At 43.9% G+C, this 25,610-nt stretch overlaps 1 protein-coding gene and 1 long non-coding RNA gene across 22 annotated transcripts in view; one reads left to right on the top strand and one right to left on the bottom strand.

Annotated features, from left to right (window-relative positions):
• NTM (neurotrimin) overlaps positions 1-25,610 on the bottom strand; it is a 966,208-nt gene that overhangs the window by 783,780 nt on the left and 156,818 nt on the right. The window lies entirely within an intron of this gene.
• Positions 12,176-19,186, top strand: NTM-AS2 (NTM antisense RNA 2). The gene is made up of 8 exons (NR_110140.1): positions 12,176-12,226; positions 12,344-12,523; positions 13,435-13,500; positions 13,767-13,951; positions 14,401-15,639; positions 15,872-15,972; positions 16,212-16,421; positions 16,884-19,186. It is a non-coding gene; the product is annotated as an NTM antisense RNA 2 (long non-coding RNA).

The raw sequence follows: 25,610 nt of genomic DNA, 5'->3' as shown, positions 1-25,610 counted from the left end.
GTTTAATTTTGCCTGTTATGGAATGTCAAGCAATATGTGTTCTTTTTCTGGCCACTGTAGCTTGGTTTGGATTGTGTGAGTCTTTTTTGTGATACGTAGTTTGAATGTACTAATTTTCAATGCTGTTTGACGTTCCGTTGAATGAATACACCACAACCTCTGTCTTCATTCTATGATGGACATTGGCACTGTTTCTACCTTGAGGCTATTATTTTTTTTTTTTTTGAGACGGAGTCTTGCTCTGTTGCCCAGGCTGGAGTGCAGTGGCACAATCTCGGCTCACTGCAAGCTCCGCCTCCCGGGTTCACACCATTCTCCTGCCTCAGCCTCCTATGTTGCTGGGACTACAGGCGCCCGCCACCATGCCCGGCTAATTTTTTGTATTTTTTTTAGTAGAGACGGTGTTTCACCATGTTAGCCAGGATGGTCTCGATCTCCTGACCTCATGATTCACCTGCCTCAGCCTCCCAAAGTGCTGGGATTACAGTTGTGAGCCACCGCGCTCGGCCTCTTGAGGGTATTTTTTTTTTTTTTTTTTGAGACGGAGTCTCGCTCTGTCGCCCAGGCTGGAGGTGCAGTGGCCTCTTGAGGCTGCTTTAAACAAGGTTACCAGAAACATTCCTGCCCTGGTCCCCTTGTACCTATGTACACACATTTCTTTCAACCAGGAGTATAATTTCTGGGCCATATGGCATGCATATCTTAAGTTTTGGTAGATAAAGGCAAACTGTTTTCCAAACTGACAGCATCACTTTTACACCATCTCCAGCCGTGCGTGATACTTACCATGACATGACGTCGTTATCAACACTCGATGTTGGCAGGGTTATTTTCTGTTCTCTCTTCCTCTCTCTCTCTTTTCCTCTTCTTTCCTGACCCTGTCTCTCTCCCTTCCAGCTCTTTTCCTTCTTTCCTTCCTCATTCTGGTGGGTGTGCCTTTTTATTCCACTGTGGTCTTAACTTGCCTCTCTGTGTTACCTAGTGATGGTGACTTGGCCTTTTGGGTCCTCTTTTATAAAATGCACATGTAGATCTTTTGCTTGCTGCAGTCTGCTGCATTGTCTAATGGTGCTTGTAGGGACCTTACCAACTGTGGAACTGTGTTGGATGGCCAAAGAGGTCTGCGCCTCTTTTCTGCCATGCCCAGTGTGTGGTAGCCTTGACGTGGGATGTGACAGTTTCACCTCAAAAAGGAATTTTTTGCTATAGTTCATCATGTGGCTGCCTTCTAAGTTACCTGAGGACTAGGGTTTGCTGTTGTGGCCATAACTTTGGGCCTGCATGCTTCTCTGCAATCACCTGAATTCTCCACAAAAACATGTGTCGATCCTCTCAAGGGCAGAAGAAAGCCCGTGTGGATAAGTGATTTATCAACAGGGCAGTCTCCTGGGTAAAGGATGCTTGAACATACACAAGGATGTTCACAGAGGTATAAAGAGAAAATGGTGGACCAGTGGGTTCATGATTTCATGTGTCTGAAACACACTGGTTTTACCAATGCTAAATTGGGTTTTCAGCTGCAAGGCTTCCTGGAGTCTCTGTGTACACTGAGAATTGAATTCCAAGAGGGAGATCATAGTAGATACCAGGTTCATTGCAATCGTGCGTTTTTTTTTTTTTTGGAGGAACCTCTCCCAGTGTTTCCACACTAGATGTGCTCCCTTCACCCTCAAAGTCCATTCTTCTTCTTTTGCTTACTTCCAACTGATCACCATGTTCTCTTGGCTACCTGAGAAGTTTTCCTTTAGGAGCTATTATCTTCTTTCTAAAGTGATTGCTGATTGCTCTGCTCTCTAAAGGTCACCTTGGGTCCTCCCATTTTCTCCTCTCCATGAAATGGTACAAAGTAGAGTGCAGACTAAAAGCAAGGGCTGAGCTGGGACCAGTGTCACACCTGTGGTCCCTGCTACTGCAGAGGCAGAGGCAAAAGGATTGCTTGAGCCTAGGAGCTCAAGTCCAGCCTGGGCAACATAGTGAGATCATTTCTCTACAAAAAACAAATAAAATAACATAAAATACAACTTAAATTTAAAAAAAATTAAATGCAAATGGTGGAGAGTCAGCGGGTCTGCATCTAGGCTCATCCACAGCCAGCAGGGCAACAGCATTAACAAACTACGTAACACTTGGAAGTCTCGGTAACTTCGTGTAGAAAAGAGGCAGAACAGTGTCTGTTAAGGGCTGTTTTTTGAGGGTATTTTTTTAAATAGACAGGGTATTGCTCTATTGCCCAGGCTAAAATGCAGTGGCATGATCTTAGCTTATTACAGCTTCAAGCTCCTGGGCTCAAAGGATCGTCTCATCTCAGCCTCTGGAATAGCTAGGTGTATTAGTCTGTTTTCACAATGCTATGAAGAAATACCTGAAACTGGGTAATTTATAAAGAAAAAAAGGGTTAATTGGCTCATGGTTCCACAGGCTGTACAGGAAGCATGGCCAAGGAGGATTCAGAAAATTAACAATCATGGCAGAAGGCGAAGGGGAAGAAGGCAGGTCTTGCATGGCCAGAGCAGGAGGAAGAGAGAGAAGGAGGTGCTGCATACCTTGAAACAAACAGATCTCATGATAACGCACCCACTATGCCAAGAACAGCACCAAGGGGGAAATTCACCTCTATGATCCAATTACCTTTCAGCAGACCCCACTTCCAACACTGGGGATTCCAATTTGACATGAGATTTGGGCAGCGACACAGTCTCAAACCCTGTCACCAGGACTACAGGTGCATGCCACCACACTCAGCTAATTTTTAAATTTTTTGTAGAGGTGGGGTCTTGCTATGTTGGCCAGCTGGTCTCAAACTCCTGGGCTCAAGCAATCCTCCCAATTTTTGAGGCTTAATTAACACATTTCACGTAAGGTGTTCAGAACTGTGCTTGGCACATAGTAAACATTTAATGTCGTTATCTATTGTTCTTCTTGTCATCCTGTTATTATTCCAGCTTCTTTTGCCAGTACAGATCCTTGATTCTCATGCCATGATTCTCATGCGATTCTCATCCCAGAGCCTCATGCCTCCCCTGAGCAATGTAAACACTGAGTGTTTGTGCCTGAGTCCGCCCTGCAGGACGTGAAATGCAAGTCACCACACCCTTAGCTGTACTAGCATAATACAGATATGCACACGTGGGCACGGGAAAGAGACATCACCTCGAATCGTGGTTTGTCACTTGAAAGATGGAACTAAGTGTTAGGATGTTAATCATCTTTGGGGCAGAATTTAATTTCCTCATGTGAATATTTTATTTTTTCCCCAGCCTCTCCACTAATGAAGATCTTTTAAAGGCTGCATGTAATAGCTTTGAATAACCTCCAATACAATGAATCTATCTCTGACTGAAAACCCTTTCTGAGGATCGAAGACACCTGAACACATGGGGCAAAGAGCTGTGGGTCCCAGAAAGCACAGCCCCTTGTGGCTTGGGCGGGCTAGTTCCCTTCCTTGGAGCACAGGGCGTTTTGTTTTGTTGTTGATGTTTTCCAGAGAAATTAAAGATATAATCATTACTCCATGGTGTCATTGTGGGATAATATGTATGAAAGATTTAGTTTAGTGCCCCACATCTTGTAGGCAGTTGACAACCCTTTGACTCTTTCTCTCCTTCTGTCTAAAAAATTTTTAATTTTAATTACAATTTTTAAAAAAATTTAATTCAAAAATTAAAAAAAATTTTGTGCCTGGGGTTTCTTCTATATAGGGTGTGACCCTAGACATAATTTTTGCTGACTCAATTTATTGCAATATGCTGAGTCAAGTTCTCACAGGTACCATCTCAGATAAACACAAGGTCCCTTCCCAATAGTGGCCTCAGCTTCTATGCCTCCATGCTTCTGCTGTCAAACTCCAGAATGGGATCTGAGGATATTCCAGAAAAAGATACAGCTTTCTTCCCCAGCCGGCCTCTAAACTGTTTCTATGTTTTCTTGATATCGCTTGTGGGGAACTAAAAAGTGTAGTAAATGGTGGAGATGAGGAGCTTTTCTGTCTGTAGTTCGTTCATTCATTCATTCATTCCTACTTTTACTGATGGCATATGCACAAACACCCTACATAAAATAAGGATGTATAAGCTGTGAATTCTGCCTCCCAGGACCCCCAGGTTTGAGTGTAATCTTGTCACTGGCTATAAAGTTCTTTATTATTGTAGTTTCCTCATTGCTATCCTTTCTGTCTCAGTGTCCCCAATTCCCAGGTATTTGGTAACTGACCTTAAATATTTGGTTCATAGTGGAAGTTTGCTGTGGGCTTGTTTCTTTTCATTCCATGTACGTGCTAACTGCTGGATTTAGATATACTAAGAGACCTGGAGGCAATGGGTGCATTTGATAGATATCACATAAATAAATAAAGCAACACTTGTCAGTCTCACACCTTCTCCCTCACCCTCCCCACAGGCAGTCTTTCTGGATCGGAATAGAAAGAAGTCAGGATGGGGAAGGCAGACTCTGCTCTATCCATTCCAGTGGGAATCAGCAAACTTTTGTATCTCATAAAGCCTTGTCAGCATCACATTTAATGTAAATGTTATCATAATTATTATAACTTTACATTTATATAGCTCTGAGTCTCTGGGGAGAAGAAAGAACTCTGAATATAAAAAAAAGATGATCAGGCTTCACCCCTCCTTTCTAGGGAGATAGGCTTTTTAAAAAAATAATAATTTTTATGCCTTTCTTGACTCATTCCTTGAGGCATCACCTGGATGTACTGCCTGGGGGATGTTTTTTTCCTGGATAAGATCGACTTGGAAAAATGCACAAGGGGAGAGTGGTGGTGGAGGCAAAACATGCTTGTGGCCAAAGGGAAAAATTCTTGCTAAGATTAAAGAAGGAAAAGAAACTAAGATTTATTAACTACCAAGTAAAATCTAAGCCCTGTGTTACTTGCTTTGCATATCTAATTTAACAGTGACTAAAATTCCCAGAGAAGTATTATTATCCCTATTTCACAGTTCTGGAAACAGCAGCTCATTGAAATTCAGGAACTTGCCTAAGGTCACCTAATTAGTATGTGGTAGATGATGAGTTTGAGCTCCTCTGTCTCCTTGCAAGTTCCTGCTCTTCTTGGTATGATTGAAAACAAGCTTGCAATCTTATTCGGACGCCTCCTAGGCATTGGCTAATCAGCCACCTACTGCCTAGCACTGTGCTATGAGGTTTGAGAGATGCCAAAGATTTATCAATCCTGGCTCCCCTTCAAGGATTTTCAAAAAGGGAGATAAGATTGATGTGCAGGATCCAAGTCTGTTGGAGTTGCGGGGACTAGGAGGGGACTAGGAGAGAACTAAAAGCGAACTCTTTGAGAGGGTGTATAGTATAGTCACTCTTGACGTAAGTGACTCCATCTTAGAAAAGAACTCCATCTTACATCTCAAAAGGCTTCATACCAACAGGACCAGACATTCACCTAATCAACAGAAACTACCTCAACCTGACAAGGGCATAACCAGACACACACTTTACATCACCTCTTACCAGAGAGGACAAGGACTCTAAGAAGAGCAGGACTTCACCGTCCACAAAACCATTTCACTGAACGCCATCCCACTGTCACCCACGGTTAGCGCCTGGCATCTGCCACCGAAGGCTCTGCCCACCTCAAAGTCTCTTCCCGTGCAAGACGTTGAAGATCGTCTGGATCAGGCCAGCATTCTCTCTCTGTCCAAGGCGCTCTCCTGGGATTGGCTCATTAACCCCTTTTTCCTACCCCCTTTTCTCTTTTTGTTAAATGTTACTTTGTTTGATGTGGAAATGTTAATCTATAACATTTATATAATGATTAAGTATCCTACTATATATAGTTTGCAACATTCACTGACTTGTGGGTCAGCTAGGGCCTGTGTGCTCACGCCTCTGACTACCCAGTGAATGAGACATAGTAAGAATAATTACCACCTTGGAAACTCCATGTAGGTCATGGCTGAAATAACATCAATAAAATTCTGACCTGTGGAAAGTCACATATGTGCATGGATCTGGTTCTGTCTCTGACCTTGCTCTGGTCACCACAGAGGGCTTCTTGGAAGAGGAGGTTGGAGGAGGGCACCATAGAACAGTAACTCAGAGGCATGATGGAAAGGGAGGGAAGGAACTCAGGGGGTTTAGGGACAAGGAAAAGACAGCCTAGCCTGGGGGAACACCTGCGGGCTCCTGAGGCCTGGTAGATGGATTTAGAAGGACACAAAAGGTACAGTTTGAGAAGCAATGGAAAGAAAGAGGAAGAGTTTTCCGGGCCTCCTGCTTTCCTCACAAACCCCAAGGCTAATTTATTTCTCATTCCCTCCTAGGGTCACTGGGCAGCTTTGCAGAGAGCTCAGCGTGGTGCTTGTCACTCCTCGTTTATGTGGTTGCTCCATTTACATTCCCCCAGTGGTCCAGGCAGCTGCAGAGGCTGCTGGGTCTCTCTCACTGCTCGGGAACAAGGTGAAGTCAAATGGAAAAGCTCTGAAGGAGAGGAGCAGGACAGCTTGGTGCACCAGTGGAGTGCAGGAAGGTAAGCACAGGCTGTCCTCCTGAGTCCCAGAACATGACATAGTTGACTTTGACCAGGGATTGATAGGCAATTTTTCAGTTTTTGCAGAAATCCCTGCTGTGCAGAATGTGAAAGTAAAAGCAGGTCTCTTGCGATGGGATGCCAGGGAAACAGGACAGTGGCCAGGGATAGAGTGGAATGGCTAACGGGGCCGTGGGAACCTTGTTTGTATCAAGGATCACGGACCAAGAGAAAGATAAAATCAATCCAGGGTTATTTTGAGGCAAAGAAGAACCGGGTTTAGTTTGTTACAGATGCATACAGAAAGCTTATACTCAACCTATTTTAAAGCGAAGGGATAGGAAACAAAGCTTCAGTCACAAAACTTGAAGCATGCAATTGCCCCGCTTCAAACCTTTCCTATCTCTCTGCTTGCTAAAAGGAAAAGACCTGACACTGGAACATGGTGCATGAGGCTATAAATTATTAGTGTTTCTTTCGATAAAAGTAAATGATGCTCACAGTATAAAAATTCAAATTCCACAGCAGTGTATTAGGTAACATGTAAAGGTCCCCCTCCCACTTTCTAAGCTGACTACCCATAAACAGCTGGGTTCTGATGAACAAAGTCAGCAGTTATTCCCTGAGTCAAGCGTCACTGTAACCCTCCCAGCCAGGTTAGATAATGCTCGGATATTCAAATGTTCTTTGCATGAAGGCACTGCAGGTCCCTCTGCCGAAAAATCTATCTTCTCCCCAGGCCCCTGCCCCTCCTCTACTTGACGACACCTTCAACTCAGTTTCATATTTAGCCCAAAGGTCACTTGCTTTAGGAAGTTTCGCTAATATGTCCCCATAGACCTGCTCATCACCTTCTTAAAACTCCCATTGTGTCCTTCATGGATTTAATAGTTTCTTTGATTTCATGTCTCTCTCCCTTTGTTGATTCAGTATGGCTTGAGAGCAGGGATCAACTGTTCAGCTCTCTATTCTGAGAACCTAGCAAAGAGACTGATGTCAAGAAGACTGATGCTCAGTGAATGCTGGTGGAATAAATGGGTGGATGGATAGATGTATGGATGAATAAATCCATACATCTGGATGTATGCATTTAATGAACCAAACCAAACTTGAAAATGCCCTTCAATTCTTTATTGTGACTAAAAGGAAAGGAAAGAGAATGAGAAAGCTGAGAGAAAAAAAGTCATCAAGGAGAAAAAAATGGAGGAAAAGCTAATACACAGAAAAGGAGACAGACTCAAGAAAAAAGAAAAAGAAAAAGACAAAGAAACAGAGGGAAAAGGTATCATGCATTTAAAAAGATGGTAAGATAAGCCATTCTGGTTATACCTGAGTATCTGCTTGGATCACTTTATAAACATCCTTAGAAATGATACCCATTTTCACTGTTTATTTACATTCTTTTCATTCTTAAACTCTCAGAGAATGGGTTCCAGTGGGATACAGTTAATAGTCCAGCGAGAAAGAAAATATTACCTGAATTGCAGTGACAGTGATAGAAGACATATTACCCTTGCAGCCCCGTGGGCTAAATTTTCGTAAAAAGAAGGATGGGATTAACAAGAACAACAAAAATAATGACAGATTGAGAGGGGTCTGGGGTCCTTCCGAAAATGATCAAGCTATTGGTAAGATTCTGAAACCACCGTGGCCTGTCCTATTCCTCAAACCACCTCCACCCACTGCTATCAAGTTATCTGATTCGATGACCAGAGATTCGCCTGGAGGGCTCAAAACATAGAGCAAGCGGCGCCCCCAGGAGGCTCTGTCAGACTCACACGTCCACTCTTCACAGGTCCTTGTATGCCCAGGGCTGCGGAGCAGGAAATAAAACATTCTCCAACTTTAGGTTCATATCTGAATGACGGGAAGTGGATGTAATTATGTTTAACTGCCACAACCCCTGGAACTCAGAGAAGAAAACATTCCAAGATGAGATATCCTAGTGCCACCATGGAGTTGAACTCTCATTTTGCCTTCAGGGTCACAGAAAATATTACCATAGGCAGAATCCTTGAGTCAGAAAAAAAAAATATCTAGGGATAGAGGATGAGTAAAGGCTTAGCCAAATGGGGAATAAAGGATTCACAACAGGGATAATTTGGTAGTAGAATGGGAAGCTTTGTGTACCAGGAATAGAAATATGAGCTGGAGAAAGAAGAGGAGGTAGGGGAGATGAGAACTGTAGACAAACGAACCAGGCACTGAATCCCACTTCCCCAGAGGACGAAGGGAGACTCACCCTTTCTTCTTATATGCTTCTGTAGTATTTTAATTTTTTGAAGCAAATTGTATTACTTTGAAATTGGAAAAAATATTTTTTAAATAAGAAAAATTTGTTTTATTCCAAGTGCCAGAAAGAGATGTCTGGAAACCCTAAAAGATCAAAGGTCCTGCTTCTTTAGTCCTCTAATCTTGAAGTCAGCCCATGATCCATTCCATGGGACTGACCTGCATGCATCTTGGTCTTTTCCAGGCTGAGAAGTAACCCAAGATTTGCTAAATATGGTGGTAGGGGCCTTGAGGAGGCAAGACATCTCTGCAAGAAGAGGACCTAGCCTCTTTCCTGGGAAGAGACGAGAGGCCACCTGCCTGGTGTGTTTGCTAACACGCAGGAGCTGTGGCCTGTAATCATCATTAGCTCTCTTTGGTGTTTACTAACTGTTATTAATTAGAATGAGCAAACTTGGCATTAATGTGCCTGCCATAAGGATGAAGGTTCTTACTGCACAACCATCCTGCATAAGCGGCTAGACTGGGACTCGTTTACCAACTGTTACCAGGATGATGCAGGGCTACGGGCACCAGCTGATGAAGGACTGGGCAAGGGAGAGCGCTCGAACCTGTGCTTCTCTGAAAGTTCAGAATTAGGGGAAGCTGTGCTGGAGTAGAGGGAAGCAGAGCCTCTCCCCAGCTCATGTGGGAGCTGCTAGCAGGCTTTGGGCAGCCTCCAAAAGTAGCCCAGGCAAACCCCCAAGGTCTTTGATCACCAGACAGCTTTCCTCTGGTGCTGGTTGTAGCAACTTTCTCCCTAATCAGAAAATCACTGAACACAACTTCCTTTACAAGACAGTGGATCAGTGTCCTGTTGCCCTTCAGGAGAGACCCTGCTCTTCTGTGGGTCTTGGGAAAGAGGTTAGGGATATGTACCGTTGCCAAGAAAGGGAAGACATTATCTGGTGTTCTGATCTATCAGTCTGTTCTCTTGTTTCTCTGGAAGTGATGCTATCCCTGCGTATTTCCTGTCTAAAAGAGTAGCCTTCAGAGAGGAGACTGCCACTTTATGGGAAGTTTTGAAAACAGGGGAGGTAATGGAACATGTTAGCTAGAAAAGAAGATTGATTTCTTCCTGCATGGTTACATGGTCTTGATGTAGAGAGGAGTCTCTGGAGAAAATGGCAGCGTTTCAACTGGCTCACAAGTAGGACACACAAGAGACTTAAGGTAGGAGATACGTTCACTCTGCTAAGAGAAGTCACGTGTTCATCCTCAGCTCCCTGGGAGGCAGCGTAACTGGCAACCATGTGGGCAAGGAAGGCGTCCAGAGGAAGGGGCACCAGGGACATGTTCTCCAGGCTATGGGCCTCGTATTTTGGATTGTTTTGGGAATCACTGTGCTTACATCCCTAGAGGATCTGGGTGTAGGTCAGACATACTACAGGGCTCAAGCCTAAGCAACCAGGGAAATTAGCACCGACTCTCACGTGGGACAAAGACTTGACAAAGAGCCAGGCTGCACACCTCCTCACCCAGAGGCTCTTTCTTCCTTCCCTCCCTCCCTGGTTTTCAGGAAATCCTGCATTGATATAGACAATGGTGTGCTCTGAATGTCTCTGCTACCTGGAGACACTTAGGCTCTTGAACTAACTCACTAGTGGAAGTAGGGGGGATTGTGAGAAGTAGAGGGAGCTGATAAATGTGGGTGCTAAAATAGGGGGTACATTTGGGTCAGCTGGGAATTTGAGGAAAGGATAGGTTAGGGTTCTGTGTCACCAAAGGCAGCATAAGGTTTCACAGAAGTTCATAGAAGAAAACCTCAAGATGTCGCCACATTTCTGAGATGTCAGCAGCTAAGAGAAGAAAAGATTGCTTAGTTACAGAAGTTTTACCCATGGGAGCGTCTGGAAAATGGCACTTAACATTGTCACTGTCTTCATGTATCAAGCACCTAGAAGTTCACAGTGCAGTTCTGAAGACATGCTCATTTCTCTCTTCTTGTCTCTTCAGGTGCTACATGGTGTGTTGGAAGGCTAGTGACCTGTTAGGCACTTGGAAAAATTTATGCAGCTTCAAGGCTCATCTCAAAAGCTAACTCTGAGGCCTTCTTGACCTTCCGAGCTGTGCCGGGTCTCTCCATCCCCTGTGGGCTCATTAGAACTTGGATATTCCTTTAATGCAAACAACACATGGAAATAGAATGGACAATCATTCCCATTTAGTTGTCAGCTGTTCAAGGTCAATACTTATGCTCTGTTGATCTCTCTAACCCTCTAGATCTGGTGCCTGGCATGCTGTAGCTACCAGTAAATGAGGCAACAGTCTTCTGGAAGCTGCACTTCTATTACACATATACTGATGTTCACCAAGAAGAACACACCAAAAAGATAAATTTAGTTAACATTGAGCCTGTGTATAAAGAGACACACTGGATAAAGGATATAAATTTAGATGTTATAGCATGGAGGAAGTAGGGGAGAGAGGAAATGACGCTAATTGAGCAACTAGTTTTTACCTGGTACAACACAAAGTCTTAAATATGTTATCTAATTCAGCCATCATCACAACCCCTGCAGGTAGGTATTTAACTCCTTAGATGGCTATTGTATTCTTTTCTCTACAGGCCCTATTTTAGATGATAGACTCTGATGGTGAACAAGAGAAGCAGAGATCTCATTGCTTGTTTATACACAATCTAGCAACTATTCTACAGTTCAGACAGGACACGTGAATTGACTGGCTTTACATAGCTCCCAAAAATTCACACACGAATTGACTGGCTTTACATAGCTCACAAAATTGACTGACTTTACATAGCTCACAAAATCGACTAGGTTTACATAGCTCATTTAAGTCTGGCCTGTGTGGCTGTAAGGTCTACTCTCTTTATGTATTGTAGGTAACATATATTCCAGAAGTAACCCAGGAAACTCTGAAATTTTCATTTTGCAACCAAGAAGGGCATCCAGGAAAAGCTAGCAATTCTGGAGCGTTCTGGGACCTCCAAATAGTCTTTGGTGATGTTTAACAGCCTCCGTAATTTCATCAGTTAGTGCTGGGTTCGGGATGAGGCATTACATGGCGGAAGGCGAGGGATGGTTCTCTGTCACTTTAAGTCCTAAATTATTTTCAGGTGTTTGTTTCGAGGCAGGACGGGGAGGCAGCCTGCCATTTAGTGGAAAGGGTGGACATGGCCTCCTTTAGACCTCTCATCAGAGTTACTGTTTCGAGTAATGAAGAAGCACGGGGATTGATTTGATGCCTAATGAATAATCAGCTGCCATCAATAATTGTAATCACTAATCTGGTGCAATTAGAGGCAATTATAATAAATGCAATTTCCTCTCGTGCCACTAACGAACTACAGAAGTATGAATTGACTCAAGGGGGCTGGCAGTGATTTATGTGATTGTGAGATCATGAATCCCATTATCTTGGGAAAGACTCTTAAAGGGGCAGGGTCCTATTCTGATGTCACCGCTTCCTAATGAGAAGCTAGAAAATGCAATTCTAGAGGTAATGAGCACAGAGGCTACTGTATTTCTCTCACAACTGGCTTTAGATAAGGGCCTTGTGCAGATTCAGCTGGGCTGCCATGCAAAGGCCTGTTCCTTTAAGTTCTGTTTACTGTAGTGATACACCTTTAAGTCTTGAAGAATGAAGATGAAATATTCCAAACTATGCTGCACAAGAGGATGTGAACAGAAACATCTGGACGGAGAAGATCTTTTTTATATTCAGCCATGCCAATTGACCTACTACCCTCTCCATAGCCAAAGGAATGCCCAAATTTCCACAGAAAGGCATTTTTATGTAAGTTGAATGGCCTTGGAGGTCGTCAGTATCTTTAAAAAATGCTTAAATAGCTGGCTGGCCATGGTGGCTCACACCTGTAATCCCAATACTTTAGGAGGCCGAGGCAGATGAATCATGAGGTCAGGAGTTTGAGACCAGCCTGGCTGATACGGTGAAACCCCATCTCTACTAAGAATACAAAACAACTAGCTGGCCATGGTGGCATGCGCCTGTAGTCCCAGCTACTTGGGAGGTTGAGGCAGGAGAATCAGTTGAACTGAGGAGGCGGATGTTGCAGTGAGCCAAGATTATGCCACTGCACTCCTTCCTGGGCAACAGAGGGAGACTCCGTCTCAAAAAAAAAAAAAAAAAAAAAAAAAAAACAAGCTTAAATAGCTTTAATTATGTTAGTCCTGTTTTCAGAAATGTTGAGTTGCTATGCATTTTCTAATGAATCAGCCAGAGCTTTTTAAGGGACTCCACAGCATGTTCCCACATTGTTGTGACAGGACCGTAGTGAGCAAGGATGAGGTGGGAGCTAAGGTGACCAACTGCCCGCCTGCCTGGAACTTCGTGTGTTCCTTGGATTTGAGACTTTCAGTGCTAAAACTGGAAGAGTCTTGGGCACAAACAGAGATGAGTTTTTCCCATGGAGATGAGGTCCAGGATAGAGGCAGAGGCCAGATAACATAGGGCCTCTCATTCTCCTAGTAGCTCAGATAGAGTTCAACCTCCTGCAGTGCACTGCAGGCTCTGCCTGGTCTCACCTCCACTCCCATGCCCCAGCTCCTCTCCTGCTGGTAAGTCCACCTCTATTCATTCCACAGGGTCTCTAGTTCTTGCCTCAAAGCCCTTTGCTTTCCTTTTCTTTGCCTGGAGAGCTCTCTGGCCCTGATTATTCTCAGAGCCCACTTCTTCTTGTCATTCAGGTCTTACCTCAAATGGTCCCATGGAATTAGGCTCTCAGGCCCTGGCCATCACGGCACTATCTGTGTGTGAGTAGGTGCTTCCCATCCTTGTCTGCTAAGTCACAGGCCTACAAGAGTGCCCCAAACATGATGGGCCCCAATTAATATCATCCCATAAATTACTGAACCCCTTTCCAGCCCCACTTTTCTCTATTGGTGCACAAGCGTTCATCCCCATTCACATTCGCCTACATGCTCTTCCCTGAACACATCCTGATTCTTCCTCTCCATTCTGCCTGAAATACCTTCCCTCTAATTCCTTCAATATTGGCTATTGGCTGAAATTCTTCCAGAAGGAACTTCTGCAAAGCCTTCCTGGCTCCTTGATGGATTGGCTTTTTGGCTTATGCCTGTAATCCTACCACTTTGGGAAGCTGAGGCAGGAGGATTGCTTGAGCCCAGGAGTGCAAGACCAACCTGAGCAACATTGTAGAACGTCATCTCTGCAAAAACAAACAAACAAACAAAAATTAGCTGGGTATGGTGGCATGCGCTTGAAGTCCCAGCTACTAAGGAGGCTGAGGTGGGAGGATTGCTTGATACTGGGAGGTAGAGACTGCGGTGAGCTGTGATTACATCACTGCACTCCAGCCTGGGAAACAGAGCAAGACCTTTTCTCAAAAAAATTAAAAAAAAAAAAAAAAAAAAGCTAAGTTAACATGCCCAATCCCTTCACATACTTATTTTTATGGTGAGAACATTTGAAATTTACTCTCTTAGCAATTTTGAAATGTGCAACACATTATTAACTGTAGTCCCCATGCTGTACAATAGAGCTCAAAAACTTATTCCCTCTAGCTGAAATTTTGTACCCATTGACCAACATCATTCCCACCTTGCCCTTTAACAAACAACTAGTGTGTTCCTGCCAGCCAGGCACTTTGCTCCTTACTGCTTCGTGTTTATCCTGTATGTCCACCTTTACAGGACAGGACAGTCCAGAGAGAACCAACAGCCTTTGCCTGAGCTCTGCTCCAGAGCTCCTCCAGCCCCGTGATCAGGCACTAACTATAACAACTGAACCGATGGAAGTAAATCCTACCCCAGCGGGGCACTGGCAGGATTAAAGCAGGTAGTGGATAGCGTCTTGCACAGTACCATATACAGAGTAGGATCTCCTACACGTGGTAGGATTCTTGACTTGAATAGAAACAGAACCCACATAGCACAGCAATAAGAAAAATAAGATTCTGCAGACACCAATGCTAGTCTCAGGGCTGCCACTAACTAGGTATGTGACTTTGACCATGCCCCTTCACCTCCTGTCCGTGATTTTCTCGCGTGTAAAATGAGGCACTATTGTTTAGATTTCTCAAGGGCTTCCAGCTGTAACATTCTACAGTCCTGTGCATTGCTGGAATTGCAGGGGAACAGGGGAGGGAGGGTAAACCTCACATGTTCATGTTTTAAAATTTCAAATGAAGAAAGTTGTTGTTTTCTCCTCTTCCCTTCTCCCCAGTGGTAGCAAACAAGCAATAAATATGGAAATCCTAAAAGCCAGAGAAAATAGTGAGTGTTCTCCATTTTGCTGACAAAGTACACAGAGGCTGCGTCACAAAATGAATGTGCTTATCCCTCTTGTGTGCTGCATGAATTCCTCCCGGCCCGAGCATGGCTGGACCACTCACAGGACAGCTGTCCTTTGTTCTGTCAGTACAGGGTCCCCTGCTTGTGTGCTGACCAGCGCAGCACTGGGTGACTACTGCAGAGTGAAGGTGTGTGTTCCTTCTCCAGGGAGCCCCGAACAGATGGAATCCATGCTTAGTGCAGTGACTGGAAGGAGGTAGAAACAATGCAGGTGAATTGGGAGGGCAGTGCCGGGAGACAGCGGAAGAAAAGAGAAAAACAAAGGCAAGGTAGAGCATTCCAGCTGCAGGCAGCCAAAGCCTCTCCTGCCAAGGGACAGGTAGCTGGTTTTCAAAATTGTGCAGACATACTCAGTAATTGCTCTGCACCATCTTGTCTGCCTTTTAAGCACAAGCGAGGATTGCATCTGACTCCCATTACCAGCAAATGTCCCAGGAAGGACCTTAAGTAATAAGAGCCTTTTGAAGCTGATCTTCAGAAGCCTCTTCCCAAGATGGCACCTGGGAGGAGGTGTGGTTGTTTAGCGGCTCTGTCAGCCCCGGACGCACAAGTTGCTTATACCCTGCGCAGCTGTCTATTGTGGGTGCCCCACCGGAAGGTGGCAGCTCTTCCTCAGGCTCACGTGTTGCTTTCAGTCAGGTCTATGTTACTGCCCCTGCTTGGGAGACAGGCAGACAAGCTCTCTGGTCTTTATCAGGGGTTGTCAAGATGGGGCCTCAAATTCACTCATTTCCTTTTTGTTTTTCAATTTCCCATGTTTCACACATATCCAACTCAATTGTTTTTTTTTTTTTTTTAAACTTCACTCTAGATGAAGAAGCTCATCCCTGTGGACCTTTCTCTTGAATGCCTACTATGAGTCACTCAGCAAGAGAGGCACCCAGCTCCCTCAAGGTCTGCAGTGCCTCGGAGGTATTCATACTGAGCTTTCATCCCCCAGGTCGGTGATGTTTAGGATGATGAGGGTGGTCTGAGTTCACGGGCACCAGAACAGCCTCAGGCTGGCTGGAAGCCAGGTGTAACACTGGGCAGAGGGATGCCACTCACCTTTCCTCTGGGCTGGGTCCCCCCGGGCATTATTTATATGACTCCGCACACCTAAAGACCACCCTTTCTCCCTTTTCCTACGCAAATCTTGTACATTCTTCCAGGCCCACTTCCCTCCATGACACAGTCTCTGAACATATTATTCCTCACGGATGATCACCTTCTTAACTCCATCCAGACGTGTGCCTCTGTCTCACTATTTAGCGTTGTCCTAGAAAATACTGAGTAATTGTTTCATGCGTATACATCATGTTTCCTCAAGTAGAATCTACCTTTATACAATCAAAAGTGTCAGATTGATGGATGAGTAGCAGGTAAATTTCTGATAAAGAGAATTAAATTAAGTGTTAATTGTAGAATCTAGTGATGGGTTTATGGGTCTTAACTGTAAAAATCTTTCATCTTTTCTGTATGTTTGATAACTTTCATATAAAAATAATAAAAACTTTAGTTTATCTTCTATGTAATTACATGTTTACTTAACAAACTCTAATAAAGCACTTACTACCTGTGGGCTCCATACTCTATGTGCATGTCCCCCAGTAACCAGGGTGATGCTGAGTAAATGTAATGCGTGCTCCACAAATAATCGCTCATTGTTGGTGCTGTCTGCTCATGTGCCATTGGTTTGCTCTCTCCTGGGCATCCACTTTTCTGATTTGCCATCAGGGCTGGACAGCATTCACATAGCAGGCTTGGGAAATTTTAGGGGTACAAGTACCTTGCACTTTACCACCTTGTACCCCTGCCCATCTCTTCTGCCCAACCTGAACAAGAACAAGAACCCTCCTCCTATGGCTGTTGGGGTGCAAGTACCCATTTGCCTATTGGAACTGCCTTAGGGAAGATACGGTTAAACACAGACCCCACCCCGCAAGTTATTCTATTGAGGAAAAGTGGAAATAAGGTGAGTGCTACTACCCAACCACCCAACCCACACCTCTGTTACAATACTGGCTTTTTGACAAGGAAGCATTCATTCTTTCTGGCAAAACATTGTCCACTCTTAGCAGTTCTTCCACGGATATCAGACCTATATGCCAGTGGCAACACAGTAAGTCAGTAGCATTCTATAAGCACTCGTTCAACCATGTTTTCGGCGTGGTTTCTATGTGTCAGTCATTATCCCAAGCGGTGGCCAAGGAGAAGCTACAGAAGCAGATTCGACCAGGCCCTTTCTTTGAATAGTCTGTGGTCCCATGAGGGAGGCAGGTGAGAATCAAGGCTCTGTGATAACTGTTCCAAGGGAGATACACACAGAGCATGTGGCATGCTAAGCTCCTCTTGGGGTAATTGCAATGTTTGCCTTCTTTCCTTTGAGGACTTAAGTGTGAAGCCTGTGCACCTGGAATGGGAGGGGACAGGGATTCTCATAAGAACCTTTATGCCATTTGTATAGCAGTTAACAGACTGACAAGAATTTCAAAATAGCATCAGACGAGGCGATGAGCATAGGGGTCCTTAGAAATATTTGCTTGTTTTATGGTCAGAGGCCTGCAGGAAGCAGCTAATAACTGATCTCTTCCCATAGCCCCTAATGTCCTCTCCGTTTCAATCATGGACCAGAGTATAGTGTGACATTTCCCATATTATTGATTTGAGTTGTTATTTATTTCTTTTATTGCCATATAACTGTTTACACCCTTGGCTAGAATTTAAGATGCCGGAAGACAAGATAGTGCCTTGTTCCCCTGCCTCCACTAGCACAGCACCTGACTCACAGTAGGCAATCAATGCACCGATTAATTAAGTCCTCCTTCTGCTGAGGGCCCATCGTCCTTTGGCTGTCCCAGAGAGCTAACACCTGTCCCCGGGACCACCCTAGACACAATGGCACGCAGACGAACGAGCCTCCTTCGTCTACCTTCCCTCCGCGAGCAGCATCAAGGACCTGAGAGGCAAACTCAAGGTGAATTTTAAAACACCTTCAGTGGTGGTTGCAGAGCAAACCTGCCTGCAAGAAAAGGATTTTTTCCATCTTTCTTCAGCGCCACTGGAGCGGCTCCTTCCATTGAAAATACAGGGATTTGTGCTGCATGATTGTGCAGGGAGTGGGGGCCGAGTCCACGCCAGTCATCAAGGGCTCAGCATGCTCAGAAGGGCTTTGTGCTCCAGGCACTCCAGCAGCCTGGCTTGGCCTTAGCACATCCCCCTTCCTGAAGAGGCCACAGTACAACCACTTCAGCAAGTGACTTTTCAGTAATGGCTCTGTGTGCCCAAAAGGGAAATCAATGTGACGGTTAGAAAAGTTTCTTTTTTTCTTCCAGTCCTGTGCTGTCCCCAAAATATCAGAATAAGGTTTGTTATCTGGGCAAAGGAACAAGCGCAAGATTTTCTTTTATGTTGGGTGAGGAGCTAAAGGACTAAACATTTTTGAAAACCTATGATGTACCAGAGACTGTCTCACATCCTGCCCTATTTAATGTTACCAGGAGATCGTTGGTAAGGTGTTACCCCCATCTTAAAGAGGAGGGGACCAAGATTCAGGGATGCTTCACAAGCTAATAACTAAAACTTAATTCTAAAGTGTGTGGGGTGCGTGTGTGTGTGTGCATGTGTGTGCATGCATGTGTGCATGTGTGTCTGGTCTGATGTCTTAGTGTTCATATCCATGAGCATCAGGAGAGCTTCCACTTCACCCATGTTTCAAACTCTAGAGAGGCTGCTCCCCCTGCTGAGTAGCCTGGTCGTGGCCGTGGCTGGGTGATGGCTGTTTGGATGCTCTCAGAAATGTCGTAAGCAGTTCACTTATTATTCAGGGAAACATCCAACAAAGTGATGGCTTCTTTCCTTGCTATCACTATCTACTGCCAGCTGTTCACTTGAATTGAAGGATATGAGGGACTGAATGCTGAATTCACGAATGCAGCTAACCGCCCCCCTCCAGACCCCAGAGGAGCCATTAGGATGAGTGTTTATGGAGCAGCACTGCCTGGAAATGCCAAGGCCCAGTAAGGAATGAGAGGTGAACGGAGAAATACACGCGTCCCTGGATCCCTCCCTGGGTGGGGAAGACTGTGTCGTGGGACAGGGGGCTTCAAATCTATGGGAAAACACAGCAAATACACTTCTAGTTCTTAGATATCATTGGCTTTTGTTGCTGGACAAAACCTGCGGTTTGTTTTTCAATGTCTGCGTGGCTGCTTGTAGCCTCTTCTCCCCTTGTTGTGAGCTTTCTTTCCTCCTGCAGCATCTATCTCTCCAACTGTATTTCCTGGCAGATTGACTATGCATGTAGAACCTGCCTTATTTCACAGGAAGCATAAAACAATCCTGTAGCCACGACTCCTGCCCCCATTTCACAGAAGGGATGCTCTAAGCCCACCTCAATGACACGGGCAGGTGAGGATTTGAAGCCAGAAATTCTGATCTTCCAATCCTGGGCTATAGTCATTGGGCCAAGCAGCTACTTTGCTTTTCCTGATTGAGTCAGGGCTGGGCAGAGAAGCCATTTAAGCAGAAGGCCCAGGCCCCCCATTTCAGTGATGGAGACGTCTACCCCATTCTCTCCTGGGCTGGTGTAACAGACACAGAGAAAGGCATTTATCAAGGCCGCGCAGCATCACCCTTTCCCAGTTCCTTAAATGTCAGGGTGTAAATCACGCTCGACGCTTACTAGGAACATGTGGGTGTGAGCGAATCAGACAAGGATAATGTGTTTCTAATCCAATGGCTTTCACAAAGTATGATTTACATCTGCAGACGATTTTGCAGTGGTTTTCCTGGGTTGTTATTTAGCTTGCCATTCCCACTTCTGCTATGAGTTTTATTACTTTTGGCCATGGGGGAGTCTAGAAGAGTCACTTATTCAGGAAAATGTATAAGAACAAGAACAAGAACAACAACAATAAAAATTATTTAAATATTTTTTTCAGTCTCACATCTCAGCAAGGCAGAGCTGTGTTTTATTAAACTTAAACAAAAATAAGCCTGCACCTTTAGTGGTGACATTTTGTTCCAATACTAGATCTCCTGGTAGTCACAACTTATATATTCAACAACAAAACAACAATGAAAAACTCAACTTAAAAAAGAGGAAAGGACTTGAATAGACGTTTCTCCAAAAAAGATACATACCAGGCCATAAACACATGAAAATAACATTCAGCATCACTGATCATTAGAGAAATGCAAATCAAAACCACAATAAGATAGTGCTTCACACCCATTAGAATGTGTTATGTAAAAAGAAAAATAGAAAACAGTCAGTGCTACTGAGGATGTCGAGAAACCAGAACCCTTGTACACTGTTGGTGAGAATGTACAATGGTGCAGTTGCTGTGGAAGACAGCTTAGCAGTTCCTCAAATAAATGAAACGTCAAGTTACCATTTGACCCTGCTCTTCCACTTCTGGGTATACACCTAAAGGAATAGAAAGCAGGGACTTGAACAGATACATGTAGACCAGTGCTCATAGCAGCATTATTCACAGTAGCCCCAAAGTGGAAACAACCCAGTGTCTATGACAGAGGAGTGGGTGATCACAATGTGATATATGCATACACTGGAGGAGTTTTCAGCCACAAAAAGGAGTAGAGTTCCGATACCCGCTACAACATAGATACATCTTGAAAACCTTACGCTAAATGAAACAAGCCAGCTAAAAATGACGAATGAATGATTTCACTTCCATAAAATGCCTAGAATAGGCAAATTCAGAGAAACAGAAAGTTACCAGGAGCTGGAGGAGTGGGGTGGAGAATGGGGAGTTCTTGTTTAATGGGGATGTATTTTCTGTTTGGGATGATTTAAAAAAAATTCTGGAGATGGTTGTAATAGTTGTGCAACACTGTGAACGTAGTTAATGCCAGTAAATTTTACGTTTAAAATGGTTAAAGTGGTAAATTTGATGTTATGTATATTTTACTACAATAAATGAAAATCACCACAAACACCACTACTCCAAAAACCAAGCAACACACATACATGAAGGCAGCAGATCTTGCAGGCTGACTATGACCTTTCCTTTCTCCCCAGCAAACAGCCTGGAGGAATCCCTGCACTTGAAATGCAGGAGCTGTCAGACTCCACACTTCTGTGCATGCGGTTCCTTCTGTCTGAAATGCCGTTCCCTATCTTGCCCTCCAAAATAACAGCTTATTGCAGAAGCTTCAGTTAATTCCCCTCCTATCAGAAGACTTAATGTTCCCATACTTGCTTTCTTAAAGCATTTCACCTCCATCTTATGAAAACCCTCTACCTCGGTGTTTTACTCACTTTGTATCCCCAGCTCAGAGTAACACTCCTAACTCATAGTAGAAATTCGATAAATATTTAATTATTCAGGTTGGCTTATGTTTAGTTTTATTTTAGTTCTATGCCAAGAGAACAGGCAGTCTTAACAGCTCAGAGAAAGCTGTTACAATTGCAATAGTGAAAGAGAAACATCAAGAAAGATAAAAGAAAGTGTTTCCTTCCCTCCTTAAGTTCCACTTCACTACACTTTGCAATGACATCTGACACACTTAGCATTAAATCCTGATTCTGGGAAGAGCACAGCAGTTCATGCCTGTAATCCCGGCACTTCAGGAGTCTGAGGCAGGAGGATCACTTGAGTCCAGAAGTTTGAGATCCACCTGGGCAACAAGGTGAAACCCTATCTTTACCCCCACCTCCCCCCCAAAAAAAATTAGCAGAGCATGGTGGCATGCACCTATAGTCCCAGCTATTTCTCAGGAGGCTGAGGTAGGAGGATCACTTGAGCTCAGGAGATCAAGGCTGCAGTGAGCCATAATCACACCATTGCATCTAGCCTTGGCAACAAAGTGAGATCCTGTCTAAAAGAATTAAAAATTCTGGCTCTGGTCTGGCAGTGGAGCCTTGGTCTTGTCACTCGGCTTTGCCAAAGCCTCAGCTTTCTCATCTATGAAGTGGAAATAACAGGTTCCCTTTAAATGGTGGCCAGAGAAGCCGTTGCTCGTGGCAGGCACTGAGTGTGTGCTGAGCCATCTATTGCAGAAGCCTCCATCATCTCTGTGCTCACTGGTCATCCCTACCTCCCACTACTGTTCTCCCTTCTCTCCCACCTCTAGCAAGGTATAGTTTACATTTCTTCCTTAATTGCCTCCGTATTTTTTTCTGATAAGTAATTCTATGGACAACACAGTCTTGATTTTTCTAGTCTAATCATTAACTCTTTCATTTGCTCCCTTTAGCATTTAGGAGGGGAGGGAGTTAGGGTCAGGGTGAGGTTAAGGGGGTCGTTGGCCCTCCAGCACAGCTGTTCTAAGGTCACCATTTGCTGCTGAAATCCCTTTCTTGGCTGCATCAAAGGGCAAATGCCCCACATGAGCTGAGGCTGGCAGGACCTCTGGCGCCTTGGCATGTAGTTGGAGTCCTTTAAGCTTCTATTCTTGGGTGAATCATAGGGCTTTTGTTCACAGTTCCAGCCCTCCCTATAGTGGGGAAAGTGTTTTCCCTTCCCTCCTTTTTCCCACCCTCCTTTCTCTTTTGTAAGCTTTCAAGTCCCCCAGTAAAAGAACTGGTCAGTCTTTTTTTTTTTTTTTTTTGAGAAAGGCACTCAACTTTACTAGATGACTTTCACAGTAAATTCATTCTTTTTTCTTTTTGCCCTTGAATTCTCATATGCTCAACATTCTCATAGGGTAGAAAGTAGATTTAAAAAGGATATAAAACATCCACCACACTAGTCTAGGTATATCTCAAACCTTCCTAGAATTTCTTTCATTCATGCACTCAGCAAGTATTTATTAAATACCTACTAAGCACCATGCCCTGTGCCAGGCACCAGAGGGTCTCAGATGAAGGGGACACTGTCCTTGCCTTAAAGTGCCTGGTAAAAATATAATTGCAAAGTGATTTTCTATCTGACGTGTGGAAGGATTTTAAGATATAGAGGCAGCCCCAAGTAATTCACCTTCCTCAGATGCATCCAATGGGGAGGGATGATAGCACTAGAGTAAACGAATACCCAGTCTGCCTCTTTCTAGAAGGCACTTGTACACTCCTCAAACAAACTCTGTAATAGTGTGTGAGGGGGAGAGGTGGAGTCCTTAGATTATAGGCTGGGGGAGAGGGAGGGTGGCTGAGGAGGCTGGCAGAATAGGATAAGAAACTTCATTCCCTCCAAGGGTAGATTATTCACGAAATTGCAAAACAGTAGTGATTATGCCTATTTGCAAAGAATATCAAGTCCATTAGGTACAGGGGAGGTATCTAAGGGTAGGTGGGCGTCACTCCAGGCCCAGGCTTTTCAGTCTTTCTTTTGATTTTTCTCTTAATCACTTCCTAGAGGGTTTATCTTTCTTGTATAAATATCCATGCCATGAAACCAACACATGCACCGAGCAGCCTTGATTTCAGTTGGTGCGTGTTAAAGTCTCTGGAGTCTCCCATGCTGTAGAAACCCACATTTTCCCTGGAGAGCCTTGACACTCCGGTGGCCCTTCTTGGTTTCCTTGGGCACTGATGAGCCTGTCTGCATTTCCCCATCCTATTTACCCTCTGAGAATTGGTTTTGTTCCCATTCATCAGAAAGGAGCAAGGTTGAGAGTCTAATTTTTCCCTCAAGGTTCAAAGTTGAGTCTTGTGTGTGCACGTGCAAGCATGTACACATGTTTACAACAACCTAAGGGTTCCACTCACTCAGAGAAATTTTATCAATTATCTAAGAGTCTATCTTTTACATGATTGTCCTCTGGATTTACTAAGAGCTTCGTAAATACCCTTTCTATCTGGGGACCAGCCCTTATGGGCAGATGGGTGGGTAAACTGTGGCAGGATGTCAAATTGTGCCATTAGCCGCAGCCTGGATTCTGCTCCCTGACCTGTCCAAAACATCTGTTTAGCAGAAACTGCATGACAGCTTCTCTAAAGAGGAAAACAATAGCCCAGGAGGTGACTAATTTCAGTGTTTCTTCTGGCTTGAAGTGTGCTGAAGCGATACTCAATCCCATTGCAATATATATTTACTGAGCACTCATGACATCTAGGCACTGGGCTAGGCACTGTGGGGAATACCAAGGAAATAAAATGTAATCTATTCGGAAATACAAAACACACACACTAAACAGTTAGAACCAACAAAAGATGAAATCAAATCAAATCAAATGTCTAAACATCAAGTGTGCTATGAGAGGTCAGGGAAGAGGAGATCCATATAAGCTACAGTCATAGGCTGTTAGATGTAGAAGAGAATTCTGGGATCAAGCACTCATTCACCCATTTATTTAGCATGCATTTATTAAATACTTACTGAATACTTACTCTGTACTGGGATCTGTGGGAGGCGGTAGATAAAAAGAATGAGCTCAATTATTTCGAGGAGATTACTCCAGTTAGCAGCAGAACTGGAAACAGAATCCATGCCTTAACACAACATTCATTCAACAAACACAGAATAAGAAGTCATCATGGGCACCGGGATAGCTGCAGGAAGACTGTATTGCATATTGGTGAAGCATCTGTGGCACTGAGTAGCTGTGTGAACCTGTGAAAGTTTCTTAACATCCCCTAGCTTCTATTTCCTTAATTATAAAATGCAGATAAGAAGAACACCTCTCTCATAGAACAGATGTGAGCATTAAGGGAACTAAACATGTAAAGGGCACAGCACAATTTCAGACACAAAGTAAGTGCTTAATAAATGCCAGTTATTTTTATTACGGAGCTATCTCAATGGATCAAACACAGTGCCAATCCTCAGGAAACTTACATGAATTCTATTGAAGAGGGAAGGCATATTCCCAGACCAAGATGTCTCCCTGATAACAGAACTTTGGGGAAGATTTTAAGAAGTTAAATAAAAACAGACAAAATGAAAACAAGCATAAAGATAGAGAGGTGAAAGTTACACCTTATCTGCAATCCTTGGGACCAGAAGTCTTCCAGGTTTTAGATTTTTTAAAAAAATTTGGAACATTTGCATTATACCAGTTGAGCATTTCTCATCTGAAAACTTGAAGGGTCACAATGAGCATTTCCTTTGAGCCTTCTGTTGATGCTCAAAACATTTCAGATTTTGGAACATTTCAGATTTCAGATTTTTAGGTTAGGGATACTCAACTAGTACATGATCAATGGGCTGAACATCCTCAATAGTTATTTGATTTATCGCTTTCCAAATCTACCAAAGAGTCAGATTGTTAAATCCTGGAAAGGAAAATATTCAGAGACCGTCTAGTCCACACCCCTGCCTCTCATCTATTAATATACTAAGAACACTAGTTAAAAGTCCCGTGTATTTGAGTGCATGCTCCCATAACGTTGTAAGCATCATGATCCATGGTTGCTTGGCTCTGAAGAACTCTGGGATGTTAGAAATAGCAGGAAAGAAAGAAATTACATAAGATGGCTTTTTCCAAGGATGGGTCTTGGGAAGCAAATTCAATAATGAGGCTTTTTCCTCCTTCTCTATCCCCAACTAAGGCAGAACAGAGTTCAATGGCCTATATCCAGGAAATAGAGCAAATCTCAGTGTAATCCATCCAGGTAAGAGTATGCCAGGAAACTAATTTGGGAAATGGAAGAGGCATGGTGATAA

Source organism: Homo sapiens, chromosome 11 (genome assembly GCF_000001405.40).
Source record: "Homo sapiens chromosome 11, GRCh38.p14 Primary Assembly".
NCBI lineage: Eukaryota > Metazoa > Chordata > Mammalia > Primates > Hominidae > Homo > Homo sapiens.
The sequence above is the reverse complement of the archived record's forward strand: the minus strand, read 5'-3'. Positions and strand labels throughout refer to the sequence as shown.